The following is a 25431-nucleotide window of genomic DNA, read 5'->3' as shown; positions in this document are numbered from 1 at the left end:
GTATACTTGCAGCATAGAACACAGAATCCTTAAGCCCTCCTGCCCATTCACTGTTAGAAGAAACTGGCATTTCTGTTCTAGAATTGGTGACTAGAGACCAGAGATGAGGACAAAGAGGCAATAAGCATCCCACATTAGACTGAGATTCTTTAATGATGGGAGCCAGGCACCTTCCTGAGGGGGGAGAAAAGAGTGTGTTCTCTCTAATCTCCAGAGTCAAGTGCCCTAGTATAGACTAGCAATGATTGTGAGTAGAAGCAAATGGCATTCAATCTTCATTTGCTTATCTAATTTAAACAGAGAACTTTTTATTCTGCTCTATACCTAGATAAACATGAGAAGTTTCACATATTATGACACAGAGAAGGAAAAAATGTATAGCAGCTCTATGACCAGTAGCTGTATTTGGCATAGCAAGAATGAGAGGGTTTCCTGGGAGTCAAGTGGAAAAGTAAAATGATAGACTGATTTTCAAAGATAACTGAATGTTCACAAAAGGCCAGGTTGTTATTCTAAGGTTAGAGCCCTAGTTGGGGAATGTGACATCCTGATACATGGGAAAGTGTGATGGTTAATGTTAAGTGTTGATGTGACTGGAAGGGGGAATGCCTGTGTCTGGGTGTGTCTTTAAGGTTATTTCCAGATGAGATTAGTGAGTGAGTCAGTGAACTGAGTGAGAAAGTCCTGCCCTCAAAGTAGGGGGCAGCATCCCATGGGCTGAGGGCTCTACTAGGACAAAGCAGGTGGAAGAGAGGAGATATTCAGCTTGAGACCTCTTGCTTCCTCTCTGTCTCAGAGCAGGATGCCTTTTTCTCCTCCTGCTTTTGGACATCACACTCCAATTTTGTTGGCCTTTTGGCACCAGAGGCCTCCCAGGGACTTTCAGGCCTTCAGCCTCAGACTAAGGGCTGCACCATCAGGTTGCCCGGTTCTCAGGCTTTTGGAATTTGATTGAACCATGCTGCCAGCCTCTCTAGTTCTCCAGCTTGCAGGTGGCCCATCAGGAACTTCACTTTTGTGATTGTGTGAGCCAATTTCCCCTAGTTGGTTTCCCTTCATATGCATCCTAGTGGTTCTCTCCCTCTGGAGACGTACCCTAAACACAGATAAGTGTATGACCTTGAAGATATTGGCTTCCAAACTCTCCTGAACATTCATAGTTGTAAACCCAGAAAATCTGAGAGAGGTCTCATTTAATTTAGAAGGTTTATTTTGCCAAGGGTGAGGACGCATGCCCATGACACAGCCTCAGGAAGTCCTGATGACCTGTGCCCAAGGTGGTCAGGGCACAACTTGGTTTTATACACTTTAGGGAGACACAAGACATTAATCAATACAGTAAGAAGTACACTGGTTTTGTCCAAAAAGGTGGGGAGAACTTGAAGCAGGGAGGGGTCTTCCAGGTCACAAGTAGGTGAGAGACAAATAGTTGCATTCTTTTGAGTTTCTAATTAGCTTTTACAAAGGAGCCAATCAGAATATGCATTTACCTCAGTGAGCAGAGGGATGACTTTGAATAGAATGGGAAGCAGGTTTGCTCTGAGCAGTTTCCAGCTTGAATTTTCCTTTTAGCTTAGTGATTTTGGGGGCCCAAGATATTTTCCTTTCACTTAGTCTATACATACGTCTCATACCTCCCTCTTAAGAACTAGCAGCCAGGTGCAGTGGCTCAGGCCTGTAATCCCAGAACTTTGGGAGGGTGGGGTGGGCAGATCATGAGGTCAAGAGATTGAGACCATCCTGGCCAACATGGTGAAACCCCGTCTCTACTAAAAAATACAAAAAATTAGCCAGGTGTGGTGGTGTGTGCCTGTAGTCCCAGCTACTAGGGAGGCTGAGGCAGGGGATTCACTTGAACCCAGGAGGTGGAGGTTGTAGTGAGCTGAGATCGCACCACTGCACTCCAGCCTGGTGACAGAACAAGACTCCATCTAAAAAAAAAAAAAAAAAAGAATTAGCACTGATTTGGCAGTTCCTCAAAAAGTTAAAAAGAATTACCATAAAATTCAGCAATTCCATTCCTAGATATATACCCCCCAAAAAATGAAAACAGGGACTCAAACAGATAATTGTATTTCAGTGTTCTTTAGAACATTATTCACAACAAACAAAAGGTGAAAACATCCCCAAAATCCATCAACTGATGAATGGATAAACAAAATAAGGTACATGCATACAATAGGTTATCCAGCCGTTTAAAAAATGGAGTCCTGACATGTGCTACAACATGGATGAAACTTTTAAACATCATGCTAAATGAAATAAGCCAGACATAAAAGGACATTTTGTGATTCTGCTTCTATATGCAGAATAATCAAATTAATAGAGACATAAAGTACATTAGAATTTGCCAAAAGCTGGCCAGGCATGGTGGTTCATGCCTGTAATCCCAGCACTTTTGGAAGCTAAGGCAGGTAGATCACTTGAGGTCAGGAGTTAGAGACCAGCCTGGCTGAAACTTTTTCTATTGATTGGAATAGTTTCAGAAGGAATGGTACCAGCTCCTCCTTGTACCTCTGGTAGAATTCGGCTGTGAATCCATCTGGTCCTGGACTTTTTTTGGTTGGTAAGCTATTAATTATTGCCTCAATTTCAGAGCCTGTTATTGGTCTATTCAGAGATTCAACTTCTTCCTGGTTTAGTCTTGGGAGGGTGTATGTGTCGAGGAATTTATCTGTTTCTTCTGAATTTTCTAGTTTATTTGCGTAGAGGTGTTTATAGTATTCTCTGATGATAGTTTGTATTTCTGTGGGATCAGTGGTGATATCCCCTTTATCATTTTTTATTGTCTATTTGATTCTTCTCTCTTTTCTTCTTTATTAGTCTTGCTAGCAGTCTATCAATGTCTAAAACACCAAAAGCAATGGCAACAAAAGCCAAAATTGACAAATGGGATTGAATTAAACTAAAGAGCTTCTGCACATCTGCACAGCAAAAGAAACTACCATCAGAGTGAACAGGCAACCTACAGAATGGGAGAAAATTTTTGCAACCTACTCATCTGACAAAGGGCTAATATCCAGAATCTACAATCAACTTAAACAAATTTACAAGAAAAAAACAAACAACCCCATCAAAAAGTGGGTGAAGGATATGAACAGACACTTCTCGAAAGAAGACATTTATGCAGCCAAAAGGCACATGAAAAAATGCTCATCACGACTGGCCATCAGAGAAATGCAAATCAAAACCACAATGAGATACCATCTCACACCAGTTAGAATGGCGATCATTAAAAAGTCAGGAAACAACAGGTGCTGGAGAGGATGTGGAGAAATAGGAACACTTTTACACTGTTGGTGGGACTGTAAACTAGTTCAAACATTGTGGAAGTCGGTGTGGCGATTCCTCAGGGATCTAGAACTAGAAATACCATTTGACCCAGCCATCCCATTACTGGGTATATACCCAAAGGATTATAAATCATGCTGCTATAAAGACACATGCACACGTATATTTATTGCAGCACTATTCACAATAGCAAAGACTTGGAACCAAGCCAAATGTCCAACAATGATAGACTGGATTAAGAAAATGTGGCACATATACACCATGGAATACTATGCAGCCATAAAAAAGGATGAGTTCATGTCCTCTGTAGGGACATGGATGAAGCTGGAAGCCATCATTCTCAGCAAACTATCGCAAGGACAAAAAACCAAACACCGCATGTTCTCGCTCATAGGTGGGAATTGATCAATGAGAACACATGGACACAGGAAGGGGAACGTCACACACTGCGGCCTGTTGTGGGGTGGGGGGACAGGGGAGGGATAGCATTAGGAGATATACCTAATGTTAAATGACAAGTTAATGGGTGCAGCACACCAACATGGCACATGTATACATATGTAACTAACCTGCACGTTGTGCACATGTACCCTAAAACTTAAAGTATAATAAAAAAAAAAAGGAAGGCCAGGGGAACTTTCAGAGGTGATGAATAGGCTTATGGCACAGATTGTGGTGATGGTTACATGGGTATAAGCTTATCTCCAAACTCAAATTGTATAAATTACATATGTACAACTTCTTATACATCAAACATACCTCAACAAGGTGGTATATTAAAAAAGCAAAAAGAAAAGACTATTCACTGCAGCTTTTCTATCTCTATTTCTATATCTACCATTACAGAGTGAAGCACACACCTGCTAGGCCTCTGGTAAGTTTTGGAGGCAACACACTGCACACCTAACAATACTGTTCCAGATCAAACATTGGGAGTCATGGAAACTGCTGAATGTAAGTGGAGCCTGAAGCAGGAAAGTTGTCATCATCAGGTTCGGGTTGCCGTGTAAATAGCCCTGCCATGTGGAGAATAGGTTCTCACAAACCCTCTGGTGTGTGAGGTGCCAAGGATGGAAAAAAGATGTATTTATGGCAAGCCCAGGGGGAGAATCACAAAGCAGAATCTGGGTTTCTGGTACAAAGCCTTGACTTCTGCTGTGGAAAATTATGTGTTGGGGAAAAAAAAACAAAACAAAAAACAGCTCTTGACATGCTCCTTGGCTCTGGTAGAGATGGAATACTTAAAACACCCAGTAAATGGGCATGCAGAGCTCCCCATCATAAGCTGGGTCCTGTCTCACCCACTAAGTAATGAAGTCAAGCTGGTCCAAAGGCAGTTCAAAGGGAGCTTTATTGGGAACAGAGGACACGGGCAAGCTGTATGAGCAGGGAGTACCATGTTATCCATCATGGTTACACCACCATCTCTCTCTCAGCTTACACAGATGGCCATGGGAAGTCCTGTAAGATGACCTAAGGAAGGAAGAAAAAGCCCAAGTCTGGATTATGGTTGGAAAGACTTGCTAGGAAGGTAGAAGCCAAAAATGGATAAGAGCTGCCTTACTGTCTCACTCAAAGGTAGCCTTGGAAGTCGGTGGACAGAATATCTTCCCAAAGGGTGGTTTGGGTAGTGCACTGATCAAATATTTTGCATGAAAAAAGAAAAGGCCTGAGGGATATATAGACACACACATACAGACACACACCATATACATATTTATACACATACATATATACACACACATATACATACATATGTGCGTGCATATATATATATATACTCATGTCAAGGCCAAGAAGGTAAAAGACTGGGGGAATAAAGATTTCTGATAGAAGCATGTAGAAGGCAATATAGGCACAAATACTAAATGTGATGCCACCCATTTCTCATTAAGACCCATCAGAAGGCATCTACCACAGAAAAGGCAGTAAATTTCCAACCAGATGAAATGAATCAGTCAGTTGATATCAGTCAGCCTTTGTCAGCTGCCACCCTCAAGCACTGGAAAAAGAGGCAAACGAACAAAGTGGCAGAGACAGAACTTTGCGTGGAACAAACACCATGGACTCCCACTTACCAAGGTTGATCTGGCCATTGTCACCTCTGAATGTCCAACCTACAAGCAACAGAGACCAAAGCTGAGACTGGCACTATTCCTTGAGGAGATCAACTGGCCACATGGTGGCAAGTTGGCTACAATGGGTGCCTTTCAGCCCAGAAGAGTCAGTGATACATTCCCATGAAAATAGATACTTATTCTGGGTATGAATTTGCCTCAGCCAGCATCATCATCCAAGGACCAATAGAGTGCCTGATTTATAGGCATAGAACCCCACACCAATGTAATGTTTAACCAAAGGAGCCACTTTACCGTGAAGGAGGTTATGAGGTGTGCCCACAATCATGGGACTTGCTGGTGGTACATGCTCCTGCACCACCAGAAGCCCCCATCTTGGTATAGTATTGGAATAGCCTGCCCCTACACCTCCCATCTCCCTGGCTATAAGCCTGACATATGATAGCAAGGAAAGCTTGGGATGATATATGAGATTAAATTTTAAACTGGTGTTTTAATAACTGAAAATATCTGTAAAATTATGGAATCTTCCTAAAATGAATTAAGGGATTTGCTCTCAATGGGGAAGGGAGATTTGGCATAGCATGGTTAGGAGCTATAACCATAGAGAAATAAAGCCATTTCATGTTTGTATTTTTCTTGAGAGTACTCGATAAACTGGTTGCATTTATTATTGTCTACCCATCAGCAGCAGGGCCCATCTGGGAGGGCACAGATGTTGCACCCATACTGTACAATTTGGTGTCCACAGATTGACATTCTCCAAAGGTTTCCTTTTCTCTAATGGCTGCTGAATTATTCACAACCCCAAGTGCTTTCTGAGCCTGGATTGTCATTATTAAGTGTCCTTTCTGCAACACCCATCCTCTCTCCCTTCATAAAAGAACCTTCTTCCCTATTGTCTTCCTCATTTGCAATTCATTCTCCTAATCACCACAGCTTTGTCTGGACCAAAGAGCGTCCTGGACTCTTTCCATATAATTCTCCCTCACTTCAATTATGGGAGGGAGAAGCAGCAGCTGACTCGCTTCAAAGATTCACTCTTTAAAAAAATATTTATTGTTTCCTGATTGGAAAACACTTTAAATAAAGTGTCCTAAATATACTTAACTGCTCTTTCATGTTAATTTAATACCAGAAGGAAATTTTTAAAAAAAGACTAATTGAGCTTTAACAATATGCCTTTAAAAAGTCAGAAATTTTTAAGTGGCCTTATAGTGCTATGGAGTTTGGAAATCTCTCAGAAGAAGAATTCATTTATTTGTTCTTGTTTTCCACCTTACAGAAAATAAGACTACATATGCATGTATATGTATATACACCTATATATGTATATCACAAAATATGTATGTATGTGTGCATATATGTGTGTATATATCCCAAATTAACAATCTTTGTACTGTACAAATGTTTGTAATACACATATATGTACACATGTCAAACATATATGCATGCATACCTCACAGCTATAATTTACACACACACACACACACACACACAAACACACCCCCATTACAGAGAATATACATATTACCAAAAACAAAAAAAATTTGAGCCATCTTTGGCCAAAGAAGGCTAAAAGAGTCAGTACAGATACACTTGGACCTCCCTCCTCTAACTATTTATGAACCACCTTCTCCATATTTGCACAAGATCCCATTCCCCCCTCCTACACAATGACGTTTAAACTGCATCTGTCTTACATCTCCCATTTTTCATCTCTACTGGTTTTTCCTGTCAGCATAAAGCATGTTATTACTTCTCCAACTTAAGAGATTATAATAATGATAATAAACCTCTTCTTAGTTCCTCTTCCCCCTCCAGATGCTGCCCCATTTCTCTGCTGCCTGTTATATTAAAACTCTTTGAAAGAGTTACCTCTGTTCAGTATCTTTCATTTATCTCACCCAACCGTCCCAAAACTCATTTCATTTAGGCTTTTGCCACCAAAGCTCCACTGAAACTGCTCTTGTCAAGGTCACCAGAGACGTCGTACTGTGAAATTCTGGGTCCATTATTCTCATCTTACTTAACCTACCAGCAGCTTCTAACTGTCATTCTTTACTTTCTCTTAGATACATAATTTTTTTTTTTTTTACTTTTCCTCTAGGGCCCTATGTTCTGATTTTTCTCCAAACTGTAACCATACTTCATTAATATTTTTGTTAATTTTTATTCTTTTTTTCTGACTTCAGGCCTTAAAGGTTTAGTCCTTGAACTCTTTCTCTTCTTGATATCCTCTTCTGGTCTCTCAGTTTTATCATCTGAGAGACAAAAGTAGATGCCCCTTAATCAACTAAGAAGAACCCTAAGGTTAAGGAAACAAAAGGTACCTATAGGTTGAGGGTTCACGGTCTGGCTGGCATAGAAAATTTCCAAATTCCTACAGCTACAAGAAAAACTGCACTCTTGCTAAACTCCCTAACGATAGGAGCTATCAGGAAAATTATCAGACCCTTCCTAACTCTGGTTTACAACCCAGACCGCTACAACTCTGCTGGACAGAGGACTGACCTTAGATTCTTTTTTAATAAGCAACTGCAGACCTTAAGCTGATTTCAGCCAGCTTTTAGAGGTTGCACACAAATCGTTTTGTGTCCTATAGTTCACCTTTTGACATAAGGAGCCCAATTCCACTTCATTTTAATGCTAAGTACCTACCCCCAAATTGCCATGAGATGTATGTTACATGTTTATCCATTCCACGTAACTCACCTCCCCTCATAAATATATATAGCTTCTCCACCAAATCTGCTGAATATGTAGGACTCTATTTTGTAAAGCAGACCCTGTGAGGCATAAAACCCAACTGGCCCTTCTCCTCTTCAAAGAAAGAACACCTTTGATTCACACCAGAGACTCTTTTCAGTTTGTGAACTGATATTCCCAGTAAAGCTGTCCTTTTTATCTTTTAGCTATTCTGGTGGTCTTTTGGATGACATTTTTGAGTTCTACCGAGAGGCTGATCATTCCCAATTATTATAAAAATCTCCAGCCCAATCCTCTCCTCTGAAATCCATGTTCCCATATCCAGCTGCCTACTAGACACAGGCCTAATCAACATCTCAAATTTAACATGTCTAGAATTGAAATCCTGATCTTCTCCCCAAAACCTGCTCTCTTAGCAGTCTTCCCCAGCTCAGGTTATAGTAGTCCCAACCTTCCAGTTGCTGGGCATCATCTTTGACTCTCCTCCTTCAAATCCTGTTGGTTCTCCTGCTACTTTCCTGGCTCCAGCCACCATCATGACTTGTGTGGATTATTGCAATGCCCTCCTAATTGATCTTTCTGCTTCCAGCCTTTTTTACTCTACAGTCTGAGCTCAGTCATAGTAATCCTTTTAAAATGTAAGTCAGATTATTAACACTCTGAAACCTTCAAAAAACTGAGCCTCAAAGCCCTCCAGGGGCTTTCCATTTCATCAGAGTAAAAGTTAGAGAGGTCCTGTGTGATGCACATCCCCAAACTCTCTGACCTCATCGCCTCCTACGTTCTCACTTGCTTATTCTGCTCCAGCCATGGGGACCCTCCTTGCTTTTCCAGAACAGGTTAGGCATGCTTCCATTCCACCTCAGGGCCTTCTCTCTGCCTGGAACATAACCGTAATGGTTACCACCTTCACTCTTTCAAGTGTCTATTCAAATGCCATCGTTTTATTGAACTCCCTTCACTCAATTTTTCTTCTTCTTTATCCTGCCTTGTTTTCTTATAGCACTTACCATTTTCTAACGTGTGAAATAATTTAATTATATTTTGTATTAGGCTCCTCCTAATAGAATATAAACTTCATGTAAACAACACATTTTTTTCTGTCTTTTGTTTTTCTACCACTCTACCTCTTGTGCCTAGAAAAGTATCTATCACAGAAATGTTTTATAAAAATTTAGTCAGTAAATTAAAGATTCAGTTCAACTGTCCTTTACTAAGGACTCACTTTGTGCAAAGCACCATGCCAGGCAGTGATGAGAACATATTGGGATGAATAGAACAAGCTCCCTGCCCTCAAAGAACTTATTGTGGTCAAGTATTAATAGAGTTAGCCAAGCAGACTGCCCATGAGGCATGATTGTTACTGCCCTACAGAGATTCCTCTTTCCCCAATTTACCTCACATACAAATTCACTGATGCTTAAAATCCCATAATTACAGATAAACCACTACACTTCTGTGATCTTGAACAAATTATTTACATTCCTAAGTCTCAGATTTCTTATTTGTAAAGTGAAGTAATAGTGCCCATCTCATAGGTTGTTGTGAAGACTAAATGAGATAATCCTTTTATAAAGGCTTAGTGAAGTCTCTAGCATGTAGTAAACATGAAAAGATGTTAGCTATTATATCCATTCTCTTGACTCAAAATCCTGATCCTTATTAAAATGCAAAACCTTTTCATAGAGATACTAGATATTTTTGAAAACCACATACAGCAATTGCTGAAACCATGATGCTGAGTTTCTTTTAGGCAAGAAGAGGGCAAAATAATCTTATATATCATGTTAATTACCATCCTCAAAGGGAAGATGTTTGTTCTTGACTAAGTTCTCCAGGAAGGATTCACTAAGGACCAGAAGAGGTACAGGAAAAGAAAAAAACAGAGAAATAATCCCACCTCCTTATGTAAAAGCAATGGACAATTTCACATGTGTCCTTGGGGCTGCTGTTTCTCATTTCTTTTTAAAACTAAGAATAAACAGAAGAAAACAATGATAGACATCACATTACTAAAGTATTTGCTTATAACACTTACCATTTTCTGACATGTGAAATAATTTACTTGGTTCTAAAACATTTGTTGAGCCACTATTAAGTGCTGGCTTTTCTCAAATATTTTATATATTTCATTTCTGAACACCTCTGAGAGTTATGTATTATTCTTATTTTGTAGTCAAGGACAAAAAGGCTCAATGATATTACATTGTCCAAAATCACAGTAAGTAACAGAGAAATCCAGGATTCCAAGCTAAGGTTCTCCATCTAAACCCTATCACTACCCTATCTTATAGTCAGTAAAGTTAACCATGAAAAAACAAATGCAAAAAACATACTGGACAAATTCCCTAAAAAGGCTAGGGAAAGACTCATAGTGGCTCACAGCAGCAAACCGTGAACATCTCTTTCCAGCTTGGTGATCAGTGACTTTATGTTAGTACCCTGAAATCAGTAGTCATGGGAATTGTTCTGCCACTGAAATCAGCAACAGCTACAAATCAGAGCCAGTTTACTAGCACACTGTAGAGAGTGCTTAGGCATTCTTGGAATCCAAGAATGCCTGATACTAGTGTCTCTGGGAGTCATTCACAGATTTTACACAACCAGAGAGATAGGCCCAATCAGCGTTCAAGGTGTAACAGTCTTCCACTATCCTAGAAGATTCCTGCTGTCAATATTATATCATGAACAATCCATCAGATTCCCTCCTGAGAGCTGATCTCAACAGGGCATAAGGAGAGAGGATCTGAGGACCCTTGTTTAACTGAAGGGATGAATGGAAGGGAACCCACCTGTGCAGCAAATAGACTCAAAATGGGGAACCTGGGAGGTGCTGAGGACCAACATCACTGGCCTCAGCATTGCCTGTGATGGTTTTGGCCACACAAGAAGCCAGCATTCGCATCCCAGCCTGCCGAGAGTAGGGAGGAGCCAGGACTCATGCCCTACACTGGACTCCAACCAATTATACCTTTCATCACACCTTTATCTTTCTTCTATTTTACCTGTAGGAAAACTGAAGCATGAATAAGCATACTCAATAAAGCCAACTTAAATGCATATAGATAGGGATTTAGCTAGAAAAAGTGATCTGAGGTTCCAGAGGGCTGGAAGATTCTGGCAGAACTGAGCCATTTTCTCTTCTGGTAAACAAAGGAAATGTCCCTGCTCAACCCAATAGTCACTCCCTGGCTATCACTGGATAAATGAAAAAAGTCTTTACAGAAAGATTATCCAACCTAGCCTACAAATATAAACAGGTTTTGCTGTTTTTTGTTTTGGTTTTGTTTTTTTCTGGGGGTGGTGGTGAGGGGAGGGTTACAGTTTTCTAAGTTGCTGTTTCTTATTGCACTAAGGAAAAAGAGAATATCAAAAGAGTTTGGTTGGTTAAAATCCGCTAGGGACGTATTTCTTCCTGACACCTAGTATTATTCAAATGACAGCAGATATGACTAAAAGCATTTATCACACTCCCTGACTTGCTTTAATCTCCCACAAAGGGAAGCTGTGCTCATTGCACCGGGCAGGGGGGATAATGAGGCAGCCGCCCAGGCTGCCAGAGTGGGGCATTGATTTTAGGTACCAAAAATAGAACCTGCTGCCGTTTCCAGCCGGCTGCCCTGTGTCTAGAAGTGGATTATCAGCTGAACAGCACAAGTACAGGGAGATGTTTCCAGGCAATCAGATTGGCTTATACACAGAGCATTAATTCTCCAGAAATATGACGTGTTGACCAATCAAAATGGCTTCCTCTTCAAATAAAGTCTGTAGTCTCTAAGGCAGCATTTGCAGCTTCAAATAGCAATAATGGCCCCTGCTTACAGGGCATGTTCCAGGAATTAGCACCTGGGTCGGGTTAATGATATAAAGCACAGCTGCTCTTAACTGGTCATTAATCCCAAGTAAATACCCAGCAACTCGATTTTTGTGGCTTTAGGATAAACCTGAAATCAAATGGCCCAGTCAGACCAAGCAGCTTTAACACAGAAAAAGCTAATGACCACAAAAGCCTCTCCCTCTGGGTATAGTGGGGGTGCAGTTGAGGGGGGAGCTAATCCAAAAAGCATTTTTTCTTTCATGATGTGCGAAACACTGATTTCCAAATAGATGCTTGTCACCCTTACTAAGTAGAGAGATGTCACCAACCCGCAGTCAGTGAGGAATGAGCTGCAAGTTGTTTTTCTAGTTAGTGATGATGGATTTTGAACTGATTCATTCACATCTTCTGACCTCACTCATCCCCCACGCTATGATCAAATAGCAGATGTCTACAAAGCTACTAGTTCTTCTTAGGCTGCTGTCTGTAACTACGTGGCCAGCCAAGTTAACAAGGGATAAAGACCTGGCTGGAGTCTTGCACTGTGCTGATGGGGTCAGCAGAACTACCCAACTGAAACTCAATGGATATGACTGATCCTTGTAGAATGCATTTCTTTTAGCTCTGTAATTCTCTTCAATCATCATGCCTGATCATTTTCAAATTGTATCCTGTGATCTTTGGGGTTTCAGAGAGATGCATTATAAACTTCGGAAGGGTGGGGAGCAATGAGCAATGGAGAGACAGACTGGTGAGGGAAGATCAAGTGAGCTGACTCCAGGTTTAAACTTCAAAGAATCTGTGCTTTCACCTGTTTCATAGATTAAAGGTCTCTGTAAAATTTCATTTACAAAAATAGTTCTGCTGCTAAAATTACAGTTCAAAAACATCTGATTGTAGCTGGCTTTCTCATCTTCCAGATGAGGAAATGGCTTCCCCACACTCTATGGTTTTGGCAGCCCTCCAAGCATGTAAAGTTCAGCCATTCCTCCTTCCCTTCAGTTCCAACAGCTCCTGTTACCTGTTTCACTCTTGAAAAATTTATATCACTGCCTTGTTTTGCTAATTACCATTTTCTCAAAAAAGCTCTATCTTCCTCAAGGGCAAGATAATAGCTAACATTTCTTATCCTCTGTAGTGCTTAGCATAATGTCTTATACAGAATAAACATTGATTTCTTGGAGAAATGACCAATGGCAATGGTATTGAAGGCATTTGTCAAAGAAATATAAGACCTGGCTAACAGTGGCTTAAACAGTTTTATTTTCGTGGGTTTGGGGATTTGTGTTGGTTTATGCTCATTTGTTTTTCTTTTGTCTTAACATTATCAAAAAGTATTAAGGTGGTAAGGTACTGACATTTGTTAAATGGTTCAATGACATCAGAATTCATCTTTACCTAATGACCTCAAGATAGTTAACATAACTCCAGGCTTTATTTACTACCATGTGCAAGGGGAGGAGGAAAGCAAAAAGTTATGTCAAAAGTTGTTCCTTTAAAAAACAAAGGTCAAGTTGTTTCCAGAAGCTTTCTAGTGTAACCTCTTGTAAATCTCTGTCAAGAACTACAAAGTGTCTGAGATTTTACCCAACTTGTAAACTAACATGTCAGCATGCCACAGATGCATGAATGCAGGAAGAAAATATAAGACTGCTGGTCAGAGATAAAGAAGTTTATCACTCATCGCAAAGCATGCAGCATGTGTGATATGTTTTGGCTCTGTGTTCCCACCCAATCTCATCTTAAATTGTAATCCCACATGTCGAAGCAGGGAGGTGACTGGATTATGGGGGCGGTTTCCCCCATGCTGTTCTCATGATAGTGAGTGAGTTCTCACCAGATCTGATGGTTTTATAAGTGTTTGGCAGTTCCTCCTTCACATGCTCTGCCTCCTGATGCCTTGTGAAGAAGGTGCCTGCCTCCCCTTCTGCCATGATTGTAAGTTTCCTGAGACCTCTCCAGCCATGTGGAACTGTGAATCAATTAAACCTCTTTCCTTTATAAATTACCCAGTCTTGGATATTTCTTTATAGCAGTGTGAACATGGACTAATACAATGTGCATCAGCATATTTATGTCAGAGCCCATTGCTCCCAAGTCCCATAAGGGTGACATCAAGGGGCCCAGACAGATGCCTGCACCAGGAGTGGTTTGCATTCCAAGAGCGGAAATCTGAGCTTAGAGAACCCAAATCTTTTATAATGGGCAGTAAGAATGCCTATTGTTTGCTCCAGAAAAAAAGATACTGTCTCTTTCTTCCATGACTGATTACTATACAATCTGGAAAAGATAATCCAGAGAAAAAGGGAGAGTCAGTGCCTCTGCTCTTGAGATGTTCAGAAACATGAGAACCCTATGAGTTGTCCGTCTACATTGTCTCATGAGCAAAGACTAGAACCTATGGCAATACCTGTCTGTATTTTAATGTGATGATAGAATAATTATCCTTTGAGTGACATAGTGGCAATTATATTACACCCAAAAATAAATTCTATTTTATCAGATGGCTCTGAAGTAAACTTTCTCTATGTAGCTGTAATAATATCAGCTCTGTTTATTAATTTTCAACTTTCATGATTAACCAACAAAAACATCGAAGACTTCATTGTAAACTAGAAAGAGTAACTGTAGCCACACCAGGCCAATCTGGTTGAACTTTTATGTAACAGAGTTGTGAGTTGTTTTTCAGCTGCCACAGACCCTCAGACTGAAGGTCACATAACCTAAGCATGCCCAGATGAACAAAGCTTGCAACCACAGCAAGAACCTAAGTGCTTGGGCAGAGAAGCACAGACTGAATTAAGAAGTGGACTTTGCATGACAGGATTCAGGATCCAATAAGATTGAGCTCTGGCATCACCCCATGGCAGGATCCAATTAGATAACACTCCTTCACTTCACCTCACTGCAAGATCCAATCAGATCATCCTCATTACCCTATGCTTATAAAACCCAACCCAGCCCCCAGTTCAAGGAGACAGATTTCCTCCTGTCTCTTTGCCCGTTGACTTGCACGAAACCTTTCTTACCGCAAAAACCCAGCACTTGGTGTTTGGCATTGCCCATGGACAAAGAGATCCAGTTTGGTTTGGTAACATAAATATCATCAACCAAAATATTTCTGGAATGGCGTATTAGGTTGATGGAAAAATATACACACAACACCACTTCAAACGAATTGAGAAAAATTGAATAAAATATAACATTTAAGTTTTCGAAACCATAACTAAACTTGGCACCAAGAATAGAAAATTCTCAGGTGATAGAAATAAAAGGAGGCTGAAATCACAGAGTAGCTACTGTGGACTGAAAGCAAAATACCTCACAGTATTGTGGAAATCACAGTGGGTTTTAAAAACTAGGGAATGGGATACTGTCTGTTCCCTGCAGAGAGGGGAATCCAGTCCACTGCCCTCAAGAGCATAGGAATCCAGAGACATGATTCCTGCATAAGGCCAGGAGTCACAAAGCCTTCTCCCAGCTGTAAATATGGTCTAGAAGAACCCCACATGACACCCTGGGATTTGACAAGGAAGGCTCCCATCCATTCAGGTCCACGTTTTTAAAAAGTCTGAATACAGGCCAATGCCATTTGCAGGGATAAGATCTGAATTCATACGCTCCAAGGACACGTGAATTCCAAGCCAAGGAATTTGCATGAAAAATGGATTCAGAATTTATCAGAGACCGGTACAAAATCACACTGTAAGAATGCTTCTACAAACAAGACTTGTAGCAAGGACTTTCATGGAAAACGGCCATCGCTGAAAATGGATTCATAGCCAAACTTGATAAATTGCGTGAGGAAATGAAGTACACTAAAGAACCATTAGGAAATGCAAGTAGACAGGAAAATGTACAGTCTAAAACTAGAAATAGTAATGCAATATGAGAGAGGCTTTGAAATTAGTATGTTTAAAATGCTTAAAGAGACAAAGAAGAAATAGAAACAGGAAAGTATAGGACAAGTATATGAAAAAAACTGGCAGATTTTTCTAAAGATTAAAAAGAATGCCATAAATAAACAGTACAATGAGGGAAATTGAAATATTACGGGTGGATTTAACAGTACAAACAAAAATAAAATTAATGAATTAAAAGAAAAATCTGAGAAAATACATTAATTCAGCACATAGAAAAGGAAAAAGTTATATGTAGGCTAGAAAGAAAAGGCACAACACACATCAAATAAGCATTCCTAATGGGGGAAGAATAGAGAAAAAGGAAGAATCATTAAAAGGACTAAAGATAGATTTTTCAGCATTTAAGACATTAGAAAAGCACACCAAATCCTCTGCAGAATAAGTCAAAGTAAATCTATACCTAGCCATACCATAGTGAAACAATAGAACATCAAACACAAAGAAAAAAATTGTAAAAACAGCGGTATTTGTTTTGGTATATATATGTTTAGCTACAAAGTAAAATGAAATACAATGCTTTCAAAATGATTGAAATTCATTTTCTTTTCTCATGTAATAATCGAAAGCACCTCAATCCAATAGAAGTATAAAGCAAGCCACATATATAATTCTAAAAATTCTAGCAGCCACAGTAAAAAAGTTAATGTTAATATTTTACTTTCTTTAATGCAGTATATCTAAAATATCAGTTTAGTTCAATGTATAATCAACACAAAAATAATTAGATACAGTAGTCCTCCCTTATTTACAGTTTCACTTTCCATGGTTTCAGTTCTCACAGTCACTCTTAGTTTTACTTCATAATGGCCCTAAAGCACAAGAGTAGTTTTGCTGGCTATGTGGACCTGCCAGAAGAGAAGCTGTGAAGTACTTTTTTTTGCAGGGGGGTGTGGTGCGGGGACAGAGTCTCACTCTGTCACCAGGCTGGAGTGCAGTGGCACGATCTCAGCTCACTGCAACCTCCCCCTCCCAGGTTCAAGCGATTCTCCTGACTCAGCCTCCTGAGTAGCTGGGACTACAGGCATGTGCCACCACACCCAGCTAATTTTTGTATTTTTAGCAGAGACGGGGTTTCACCATGTTGGCCAGGATGGTCTCAATCTCTTGACCTCGTGATCCGCCCGCCTCGGCCTCCCAAAGTTATGGGATCACAGGCGTGAGCCACCATGCCTGCCCGAAGTACTTCTTTTAAATGAAAACATGAAAGATCTTCACTTAATAGGAAAAGAAAAAATCGTACACTGAGGTTGCTAAGATCTACGGTAAGAACAAACCTTCTATATATGAAATCGTGAAGAAGGAAAAAGAAATCTCTGCTAGTTTTGCTGGCCCACCTCAAACTGCAGAAATTACAGCCACAGTGTTGTCAGTGGTAGTCTCTAAGTTCCCACCACAGGCTGTTCGTCCGCTCTCCCTGCTTCACTCTTTTCTCTTGCCTGTGCTTTAGGCCTCAAACTGATCTCCTGGCAGTGCTCAGGGCATTAGGCTAGAACCCTGCCCTGTGACTTTCCCATCTTCATGGTCTCCCAGGGCATACCATGCGGAGGTGGACCAAAGACACAGGCCTTTACTCAGTAGGCAATCCTACCCCTTCAGCTGTCTTTTTACCAATTCAGGGTGGGAGAGAGAAAACTGCAGCACTCCAGCATTTGAGCTACTCAGGTGTTTGGAGCCGGAAGGGACAATGTGTTTTAACAACCTTCAGAGCTCTGACCTTAAACCTGTGGCCACCCCAAGTCTGGAAGCCTCACCTCTTTCTGGCAGTCATGTGGGCAGGGGGTCCTCAAAGGGAAAACATATTTAGACAGCTGTCCCCAAGTCTACTAGCCATCTGCAGGGGGTAGTGATTTGGCCCTCGCCCTCCTCTAGAATGTTCCCCATGGGAAAGAGGAGACTCAGCAGCTTGTGTCGAGATCCCCGGCAGAGGCCAGGGTGGAAGCTTCCACAGGAGCCCCTTACCCTTGCTCAAAGCCACTTTGCGAGGTGACGGGAGCCAACACCGTCTGGGGGAGCTCTAGTGCTGCTCGGCACACCCCAGTATCAGGTCAGATCGTCATAATCAAAAAATGTTAATGAAGTTTAAACCCAGCTTTTGGGGAAGCAGGACAAACTACCACCCCACCACATGTGTGTGATTTCAATATCCCACTGCAACTTCCATTTTTTAAATAGGAATTTTCAATCCCTTGTGCTTACCTAATATCTGCTTTGAACAGTTCGAGACACTGTTAGTGTTTTAAAATGCATGCATGTTAAGATGAATCTCCAACCTGAGGAAAAAAATAAAACTCAAAAAGCTTTATGTGGAAAAAAAAAATACAACCACAGTGCATGGTAAGAGCTTAAGATGGAAAAGGCATTACATTTGTGTGTGGAAGATATAACAGAAATGTGTTCCAATTTCAGGCATCCACTGTAGGTCTTAGAACATATCCCCCGTCCATGGATAAAAGGGGGGATTACTGTATTTTACATGTTTTTGCTAAGTCTTTAAATTCTTCACATTTATAGCAGATCTCAATGTGGACATTATATTTTCATTTACTGTGAAAAAAGTACATTCACATACCCAAATTGTTACAAACATTTTCAAAAGTTTTCAACTCCCAAATCAAATATTAGCATTTAAATTTAAGTTATTCAAAGTGAAGTAAAATTTAAAATTCAGTTCCTCGGATGCACTGGTCGTATTTTAAGTAGTCAATGGCCACATGTGACTATTGGCCACCATAATGACAGCATAGTTCTGTAGGTAAGTGTTCTAGGACTGGTTGGGTATCTGGGTCCAGTATAGCTTCTGTAGTTCTTGGCATCCCTGGAAGTAGGAAGCAAGGGTCCATGTACATTTTTTAAAGCCCCTTACTTGAAGGTGCATACGCATACACCTTGGTATAACTTAACCACATAGTTAAACCAAACTGTGAAGGTGAGATCTGTGAACCCATATGCTAGCTTTTTTTTTTTTTTTTTTTGAGATAGGGTCTCACTCTGTTGCCCAGGTTGTAGTGCAGTGGTACGGTCTCGGCTCACTGCAACCTCCACCTCCTAGGTTCAAGCAATTCCCCTCCCTCAGCCTTCTGAGTAGCTGGGATTACAGGCATGCACCACCATGATTGGCTAATTTTTGTATTTTTAGTAGAGACAGGGTTTCGCCATGTTGGCCAGGCTGGTCTCGATCTCCTGACCTCAAGGGATCTACCTGTCTCAGCCTCCCAGAGTGCTGGGATTACAGGCATGAGCCACCACGTCCGGCTTAATTCTATTCTAAGAAAAAATAGTAGATAGCCACAGATAACTTACTGGATCTGCTACCACACCAGAGATTTAAAAATCAGAAACACATCATCTAACAGGATCAACAAATTGGCAACAGATACCCCATTGATAAGACAATGCAATCATATTTTCAAAGTGCTAAAAGAAATAATTATTATCCTTGATTTCTACTCTAAGTCACACTATCACTCAAATGTAAACATAAAAAATATATTTTCAGAAAAAGTTTAAGAATGTGCTACTCTCGTAGACCTCATAGAAAAAAATACTAAATGGTTTACTTTAACACAAGAAAGCTAAACATGGAAGGAGCAGGCTGCACGAGCAATAGAAATAGGAAAAAAAAACAAAAACAAATTTTTCTCAAAATCTTTTCTATATATTCACTTTCTAAATCCCTTTTTTGTTGAGAGATAATAAAAGCGAAGAAATGAATGTTATTCATCCTGACAATAAAAAAAAGTAGAGGTAACAGAGGTTACATGGGTGGTGGGAACAGGGACTATCAATATACCCCATGGTGTAACCCATGGAGAAAATAATTGTGACTTAAGTCACCTTTTTGCGGTTGCAAAGTTAACCAGTGAAGTTGGTTAAACTCAGAATATTTGTGTAATTATATGGGAGACAGGCAATGTAAGTGAGATTATAAGGTTAGGGTTAGCACATGGGTTGATGTTGAGGTTAGGTTTCCAGCAGAAAGTCGAGCAACATCTATAGTAAATATATCAATAAATATACACCAATAAAGAATGGTATAAGGGCTGGGCACAGTGGCTTACGCCTATAATCCCAGCACTTTGGGAGGCCAAGGTGGGAGAATCATTTGAGCTCAGGAGTTCGAGACCAGACTGGCCAACATGGCAAAACCCCATCTCTACTAAAAATACAAAAATTAGCCAGGCATAGTGGCAGCCACCTGTAGTCCCAGCTACTCAGGAGGCGGAGGCAGTAGAATTGCTTGAACCTGGGAGGCGGAGGTTGCAGTGAGCAGAGATCGCACCACTGCGTTCCAGCCTGGGCAACAGAGTGAGACTCCGTCTCAAAAAAAAAAGAAGAAGAAGAATGGCATAACCTTACTATTTTGAATTTGCACATTCAGAAAAACTAAAAGGGAGTATTGAAAGTTCATTCCAGGAAATAAGACTGGGATTAGATCAGTTGGAGCAAGAGATTGCTGCTTTTCATTGAAAATTCTTCTGTACTAATTTTTTACATATCTGTATAATTTTATTATATATAATTATAATTTTATTTTTAAAATTTTTAATAAGCTGGGCACTGTGGCTCACGCCTGTAATCCTGGCACTGTGGAAGGCTGAGGCAGGTCAGAAGTTCAAGACCAGCCCAGCCAAGATGGTGAAACCCCATCTCTACTAAAAATACAAAAAAAAAAAAAAAAAAAAAATTAGCCGGGCGTAGTGGTTGGTGCCTGTAACCCTAGCTACTTGGGAGGCTGAGGCAGGAGAATCCCTTGAACTCGGGAGGCGGAGATTGCAGTGAGCCGAGATCACCCCACTGCACTCTAGCCTGGGTGACATTGCAAGACTCCGTCTCAAAAAAAAAAAAATTAATTAAATATACATTTATGTATCTTGAATATTTGAAATCATTATGCTAGCAGTCCAGCATTGGGAAATGAAAACAAAGATTTCTCTATGAAATTAACTACCCGTGTTTTCTAAGCAACAGCCTTCTAAATCACTGATTCCTTTATATAGATTTGTAATGCTAAACTGGTTCTGGTGGTATATCTCCTTAAAGAGATGTGAATGATCTTTTGTCTACATAATCCATTATAATTAGGATTCATGATGCTGCTGTCACAGATAAAATGACATGTTGTTCTTTTTTCTTTCCCTCAGAAATTTGCTACCCACTTGAGACTCCAACCCAACCTAATCCAAGCCACTAAATGCTCTCATAACTTATCCCAAGCACCAATCATCTCCAGCATGGAAACTAAGATGGCATCCTTACTGGTCATATTGTTTCTCTTTACTTTCTTATAAAGAATTATCCACACAGAGGCCAGAGAGATCTTTCACATGTTCCCAGTCATATGCCAAAGCTGAAGACATTGATCTCATAGAAATAAGTAGAACAGAGCCGGGCGCAGTGGCTCATGCCTGTAATCCCAGCACTTTGGGAGGCCGAGGTGGGCAGATCACAAGGTCAGGAGATAGAGACCATCCTGGGTCACACGGTGAAACCCCGTCTCCACTAAAAATACAAAAAATTAGCCGGGCGTGGTGGTGGGCGCCTGTTGTCCGAGCTACTCGGGAGGCTGAGGCAGGAGAATGGTGTGAACCCGGGAGGCGAAGCTTGCAGTGAGCCGAGATCGCGCCACTGCACTCCAGCCCCGGCGACACAGCGAGACTCCGTCTCAAAAAAAAAAAAAAAAAAGAAATAAGAAATAAGTAGAACAGAGGATACTAGTGACTGGGAAGGGCCGGGGAAGGGAATGATATGGTTTGGATGTGTGGCCCTTCCAAATCTCATGTTGAAACATTATCCCCAATGTTGGAGGTGGGCCTAGTGAGAGGTGTTTGGATCATGGGTGTTGGATCCCTCCTGAATGGCTTGGTGCCATCCCCATGGTAATGAGTCAGCTCTGCTTGGTAATATTGTTAAAGGATACAAAATTATAGCTACATAGGAGAAATAAGTTCTAGCGTTTTATAGCACCATATGATAACTATAATTAACAATAATATATAGTTATAAATTGCTAGGAGAATATTGATTATTTCCAACACAAATGATAAATGTTTGAGATAATAGATATGCTAATTACCCAGATGTGATCACTATACATTGCATATATGAAAACATCACTGTCCCTCATAAATATGTACAACTATTTTGTCAATTTAAAAATCAAAGTTAAAATAAATATCAGACTGCCTCACTTCCTAAATTAATCTCCTTCAATGGCTTCCCGTATCACACTGAGAATACAATAAGTTATTTCCATGGCCCAGCCTGCCCAGGACTTGGCCTGTGCTTCCCTGTATAACTTCCTCTCATTCCATCCTTGCTTACTCAGCTATTTTTCTGTTTAATAGCCTAAGCTTTCTCCTGCCTTGGGATGCTTCCCCTTATTCTACTCCATGCCTGGAAATCTCTTCAACCCATTTCCACATGATTTGTGTCTTCCTGGCATTTAGGTCTCAGCTCAAAATTTACCTCCCAATCTTAAGTAGCCACGCTGACACACAAGTTATTTTCTTATTCTGGTTCTTATTTGTATGAAATTTTCCACTTTATAAATAATTGAAATAATCATGTTCACTATTTTTTTCTTTGTTTTTTGGTGGTGGTGTTTATCTCTCTATTACATTCTTGGCCCATCACCAGCAGGGTTTCTGCCTGTCCAGACCCTAAAAGTGTTGGGCACATAGTAGGTGCTTAAATAATATTTTTGAAAGAAACAATGTTAGATAGATATCTTCTCACCTACCACTAGATTGTAGACAGATTTAAAAATTCTATGTTCTTATCTATAAAAACTAAAGAACCTACTGGATTATGTATCTCATACCTAGTAGGGTTAGACAATTTCCTTCTCTGTTCAAAACCTTTAAATACTGCTTTGCACAGCAAATAAAGTACAAATTCCTTAATATACCTTTTAATGCCATCAACAACACACCCTCTAACTATTGTCTGTAACAGGAAAGAACCTGCATTCAGATTTTCCAATATAAAACTTTGGGAGGATGTTTATTTAAAATGATAGGAAATGCCCTCCTTTGATAAGATAATTCCAAAAAGTAGTTGCATCTTGTTAACATTGTTGCCAGTAACATAAGAGTAATACACCCATGAGAATAAATATTTTTACAAACAATTCCATGTAGCTCTGTTAGTTTCTATAGATTTAATTTTTAAACAGAATGAGCCTATGAATGATTGATTGTGCCAACACAAATCCTCACATGTATCTGGTTATAGGTACTTACTATCAGTTTTTTTTATCTAATTGAAAATAGAAAATAAAACAAGAGGAAATTGTTCACAGCACTTTAAATTTCCCTGCAACCATTCCCTCGTCCACTGGCCACAAACTAACCTTCTGCAGTTCAGCCCCTAGAAATCAGTCATATTCTTAAACATGTTGCCTGCTTTCTCACCTACATACTCTGACAAACCTATCTGCTTAGAATTTTCTTCTCTAGAAACCTTTTTTGAAGCTATATAGGGAACTCCTTGCCCTTCAGATCTGTGCAAAATATTCTATCATGTTGGATTCCACGTCCCTCCCCCATTGTCTCTCTCCCAACATTTCATTATTTTTAGTAATTTTGTTAAAGATATGCAGGCTGATGACAGGCAGATGGAGGGATCATGTCAAACCTTCAAAAAAGGTTTTTGAGTGGACAAAAAAGCTGTCTCTTTTTAGTAGTCAGAAAAAATGTTTTTCTCTTTCCCAAAGTCTCCTCTGGTTTATCAGATCCAAAGTAATTGCTATCTAATCTATACTACATTACACTATTTATGCATACTTTTAAAATTATCTTTTTTCATAATTTATAATTTATATGTCTTCTCTCCTCTATTACAAATTCCACTAATCCAGATAATATTTTAACAGTCCTATGTCTATAAGGTGCAAATAATAATGCCTATATTATCTGCACCCTAAGAAAATAAAAAAAAACAAAAGGCCATGTAGATTCACATGTTTTATAAACTGCAGTGTGTTCTCCAAGTGTGGATTAGGTTATTATTGATATAATTTGAAGGATAAATTAGATGCACCAAAATTTCCACTATGAAGTGAACTGTATCTGCTTAGAAAAGGGCTGAGTGTGCAAGATACAACTCCAACAAGGCCTAAGGATAGAACTGATCTGAGAAAAATGGGGGAAAGAAATTGCTAGTTACTCTGGAGAAGGAGGGAAGAGAAAGAGAGAGGAAGACGCAGATTCTGTGAGATGTCAAAAAATTGAACATTTGCTGACATAATCCCTCCATCTGCCTGTCATCAGCCTGCATATCTTTAACAAAATTACTAAAAATAATGAAATGTTGGGAGACAATGGGGGAGAAGCATGGAATCCAACAAAATAGAATATTTTGCCCAGATCTGAAGGGCAAGGAGTTCCCTGTATAGCTTTCTGGTTACCTGACTGTAGGCTTTAATAGTGGTCACAATAGTAGTGATACTTGCCCAAAAATAACCTCAGTGCTATTCACATAGCAGATTCATATTTTGTTAAATAAAGAATATTCACTTAGAAATATGGACACATTCTTGAACAAAGTGTTTCACTAGGGCATTAATTTTCCAATCTTCTTAAAAGTGTAATTCTTCACAATGGAATCTTTGTGGGTCCCATTCTATAAAAAGTTACAGATTTAATCCCTCAGGATTAAATCTATAGTTTAATGGAGATAATTTATTGTTTTTGTAGTAGGGTGTGATACTGAAGTTTCAACAAAAGCATCACTATAAGACGTATCAGATACCACTGTGAATGTGGGATGATTCTCATGTGGAAAATTTAAAAGAGATAGCTGAGGCATGGTTTCATAAATCTTGGACCTTTCAGAAGGATCAAGGATATAAGCCAAGTTAGAAAGTAGAGAAACAAGAAGGATTTGTAAGATTTTCCTTAGAAAGAGCTGTTGAACTGCAGAGTCCTCCCCAGTAAAGGTGGGGGCTATGGGGAGATGCAGTGCTGGTGAGAGAGATGCTAAAATTTCACCCAATCACAGCAAGAGGGAGCTTTGGAAGAGCTTTCTATGTGTTCCATGTGATCCTGATATGACTCTAAAATAGCTATCCTATGGCAGCAGGATAAACTGACATCATTGGAATCCCCCTACACCTTCTTAGTCTTGCGAGCAAAATGGTTACAAGAATGTGTCTTTGATGCAAATATAGACTCATGAGAAAGAGACCTGGGCCATAGCCCTTTAAAATCCTATCCCAAGTCAATAAGAACACAAAAAGAACAGCAACTGAAGTAAACCACCAGAGAATCAGGTGCTTAGAGGCACGTGGCAGCCTGAGAAATAAAGTAACGATACCTAAGTTTCAAGAGTTGACAATAACTGGAAGTTGTGAAGAATCCATTGACGTACCAAGAAAGAGTCCGTTCTAACCGTTGTCTAGGCCCAGAGAGCTTGAAGTAGCCCAGTTAAAGTAAGGTCTTCTTTATCCCTTTATCTCTCAGTCTCTTATCTCCCAAACCAGAGGCCCAAAATAGTAAAAGTCACTCACTTGTGAGTGAGTGAGAGAAAAGAAACCAGCCCTGAAGGTAGCCTGCAACCCAAGTACATATCCAAGGAAAGGAGAGGACTTTTAATGGAAGATTGAAGAAGACTT

At 40.0% G+C, this 25431-nt stretch overlaps 1 long non-coding RNA gene across 5 annotated transcripts in view, besides 1 other annotated feature; it reads right to left on the bottom strand.

The window, feature by feature from the left end:
- The window catches only part of LOC105379364 (uncharacterized), a 535736-nt gene that overhangs the window by 217824 nt on the left and 292481 nt on the right, over nt 1-25431 (bottom strand). The window contains exon 4 of one of the 5 annotated variants that reach the window (NR_189605.1): nt 5370-5408. The exons of the other annotated variants lie outside the window; for them this stretch is intronic. This is a non-coding gene — a long non-coding RNA (uncharacterized LOC105379364). The remainder of the gene's footprint in view (nt 1-5369; nt 5409-25431) is intronic. 5 annotated transcript variants of the gene reach the window in all.
- Nucleotides 5074-6609: an enhancer, noted in NCBI's record as "VISTA enhancer hs1715". NCBI's record gives its function as "enhancer in: neural tube[4/6] | dorsal root ganglion[6/6] | trigeminal V (ganglion, cranial)[6/6] | cranial nerve[6/6]" and the evidence as "EXISTENCE:transgenic organism evidence [ECO:0001131][PMID:17130149]".

Source organism: Homo sapiens, chromosome 8 (genome assembly GCF_000001405.40).
Source record: "Homo sapiens chromosome 8, GRCh38.p14 Primary Assembly".
In the NCBI taxonomy this organism is placed as follows: Eukaryota; Metazoa; Chordata; class Mammalia; order Primates; family Hominidae; genus Homo; species Homo sapiens.
This window is presented reverse-complemented; position numbering and strand designations above follow the sequence as displayed.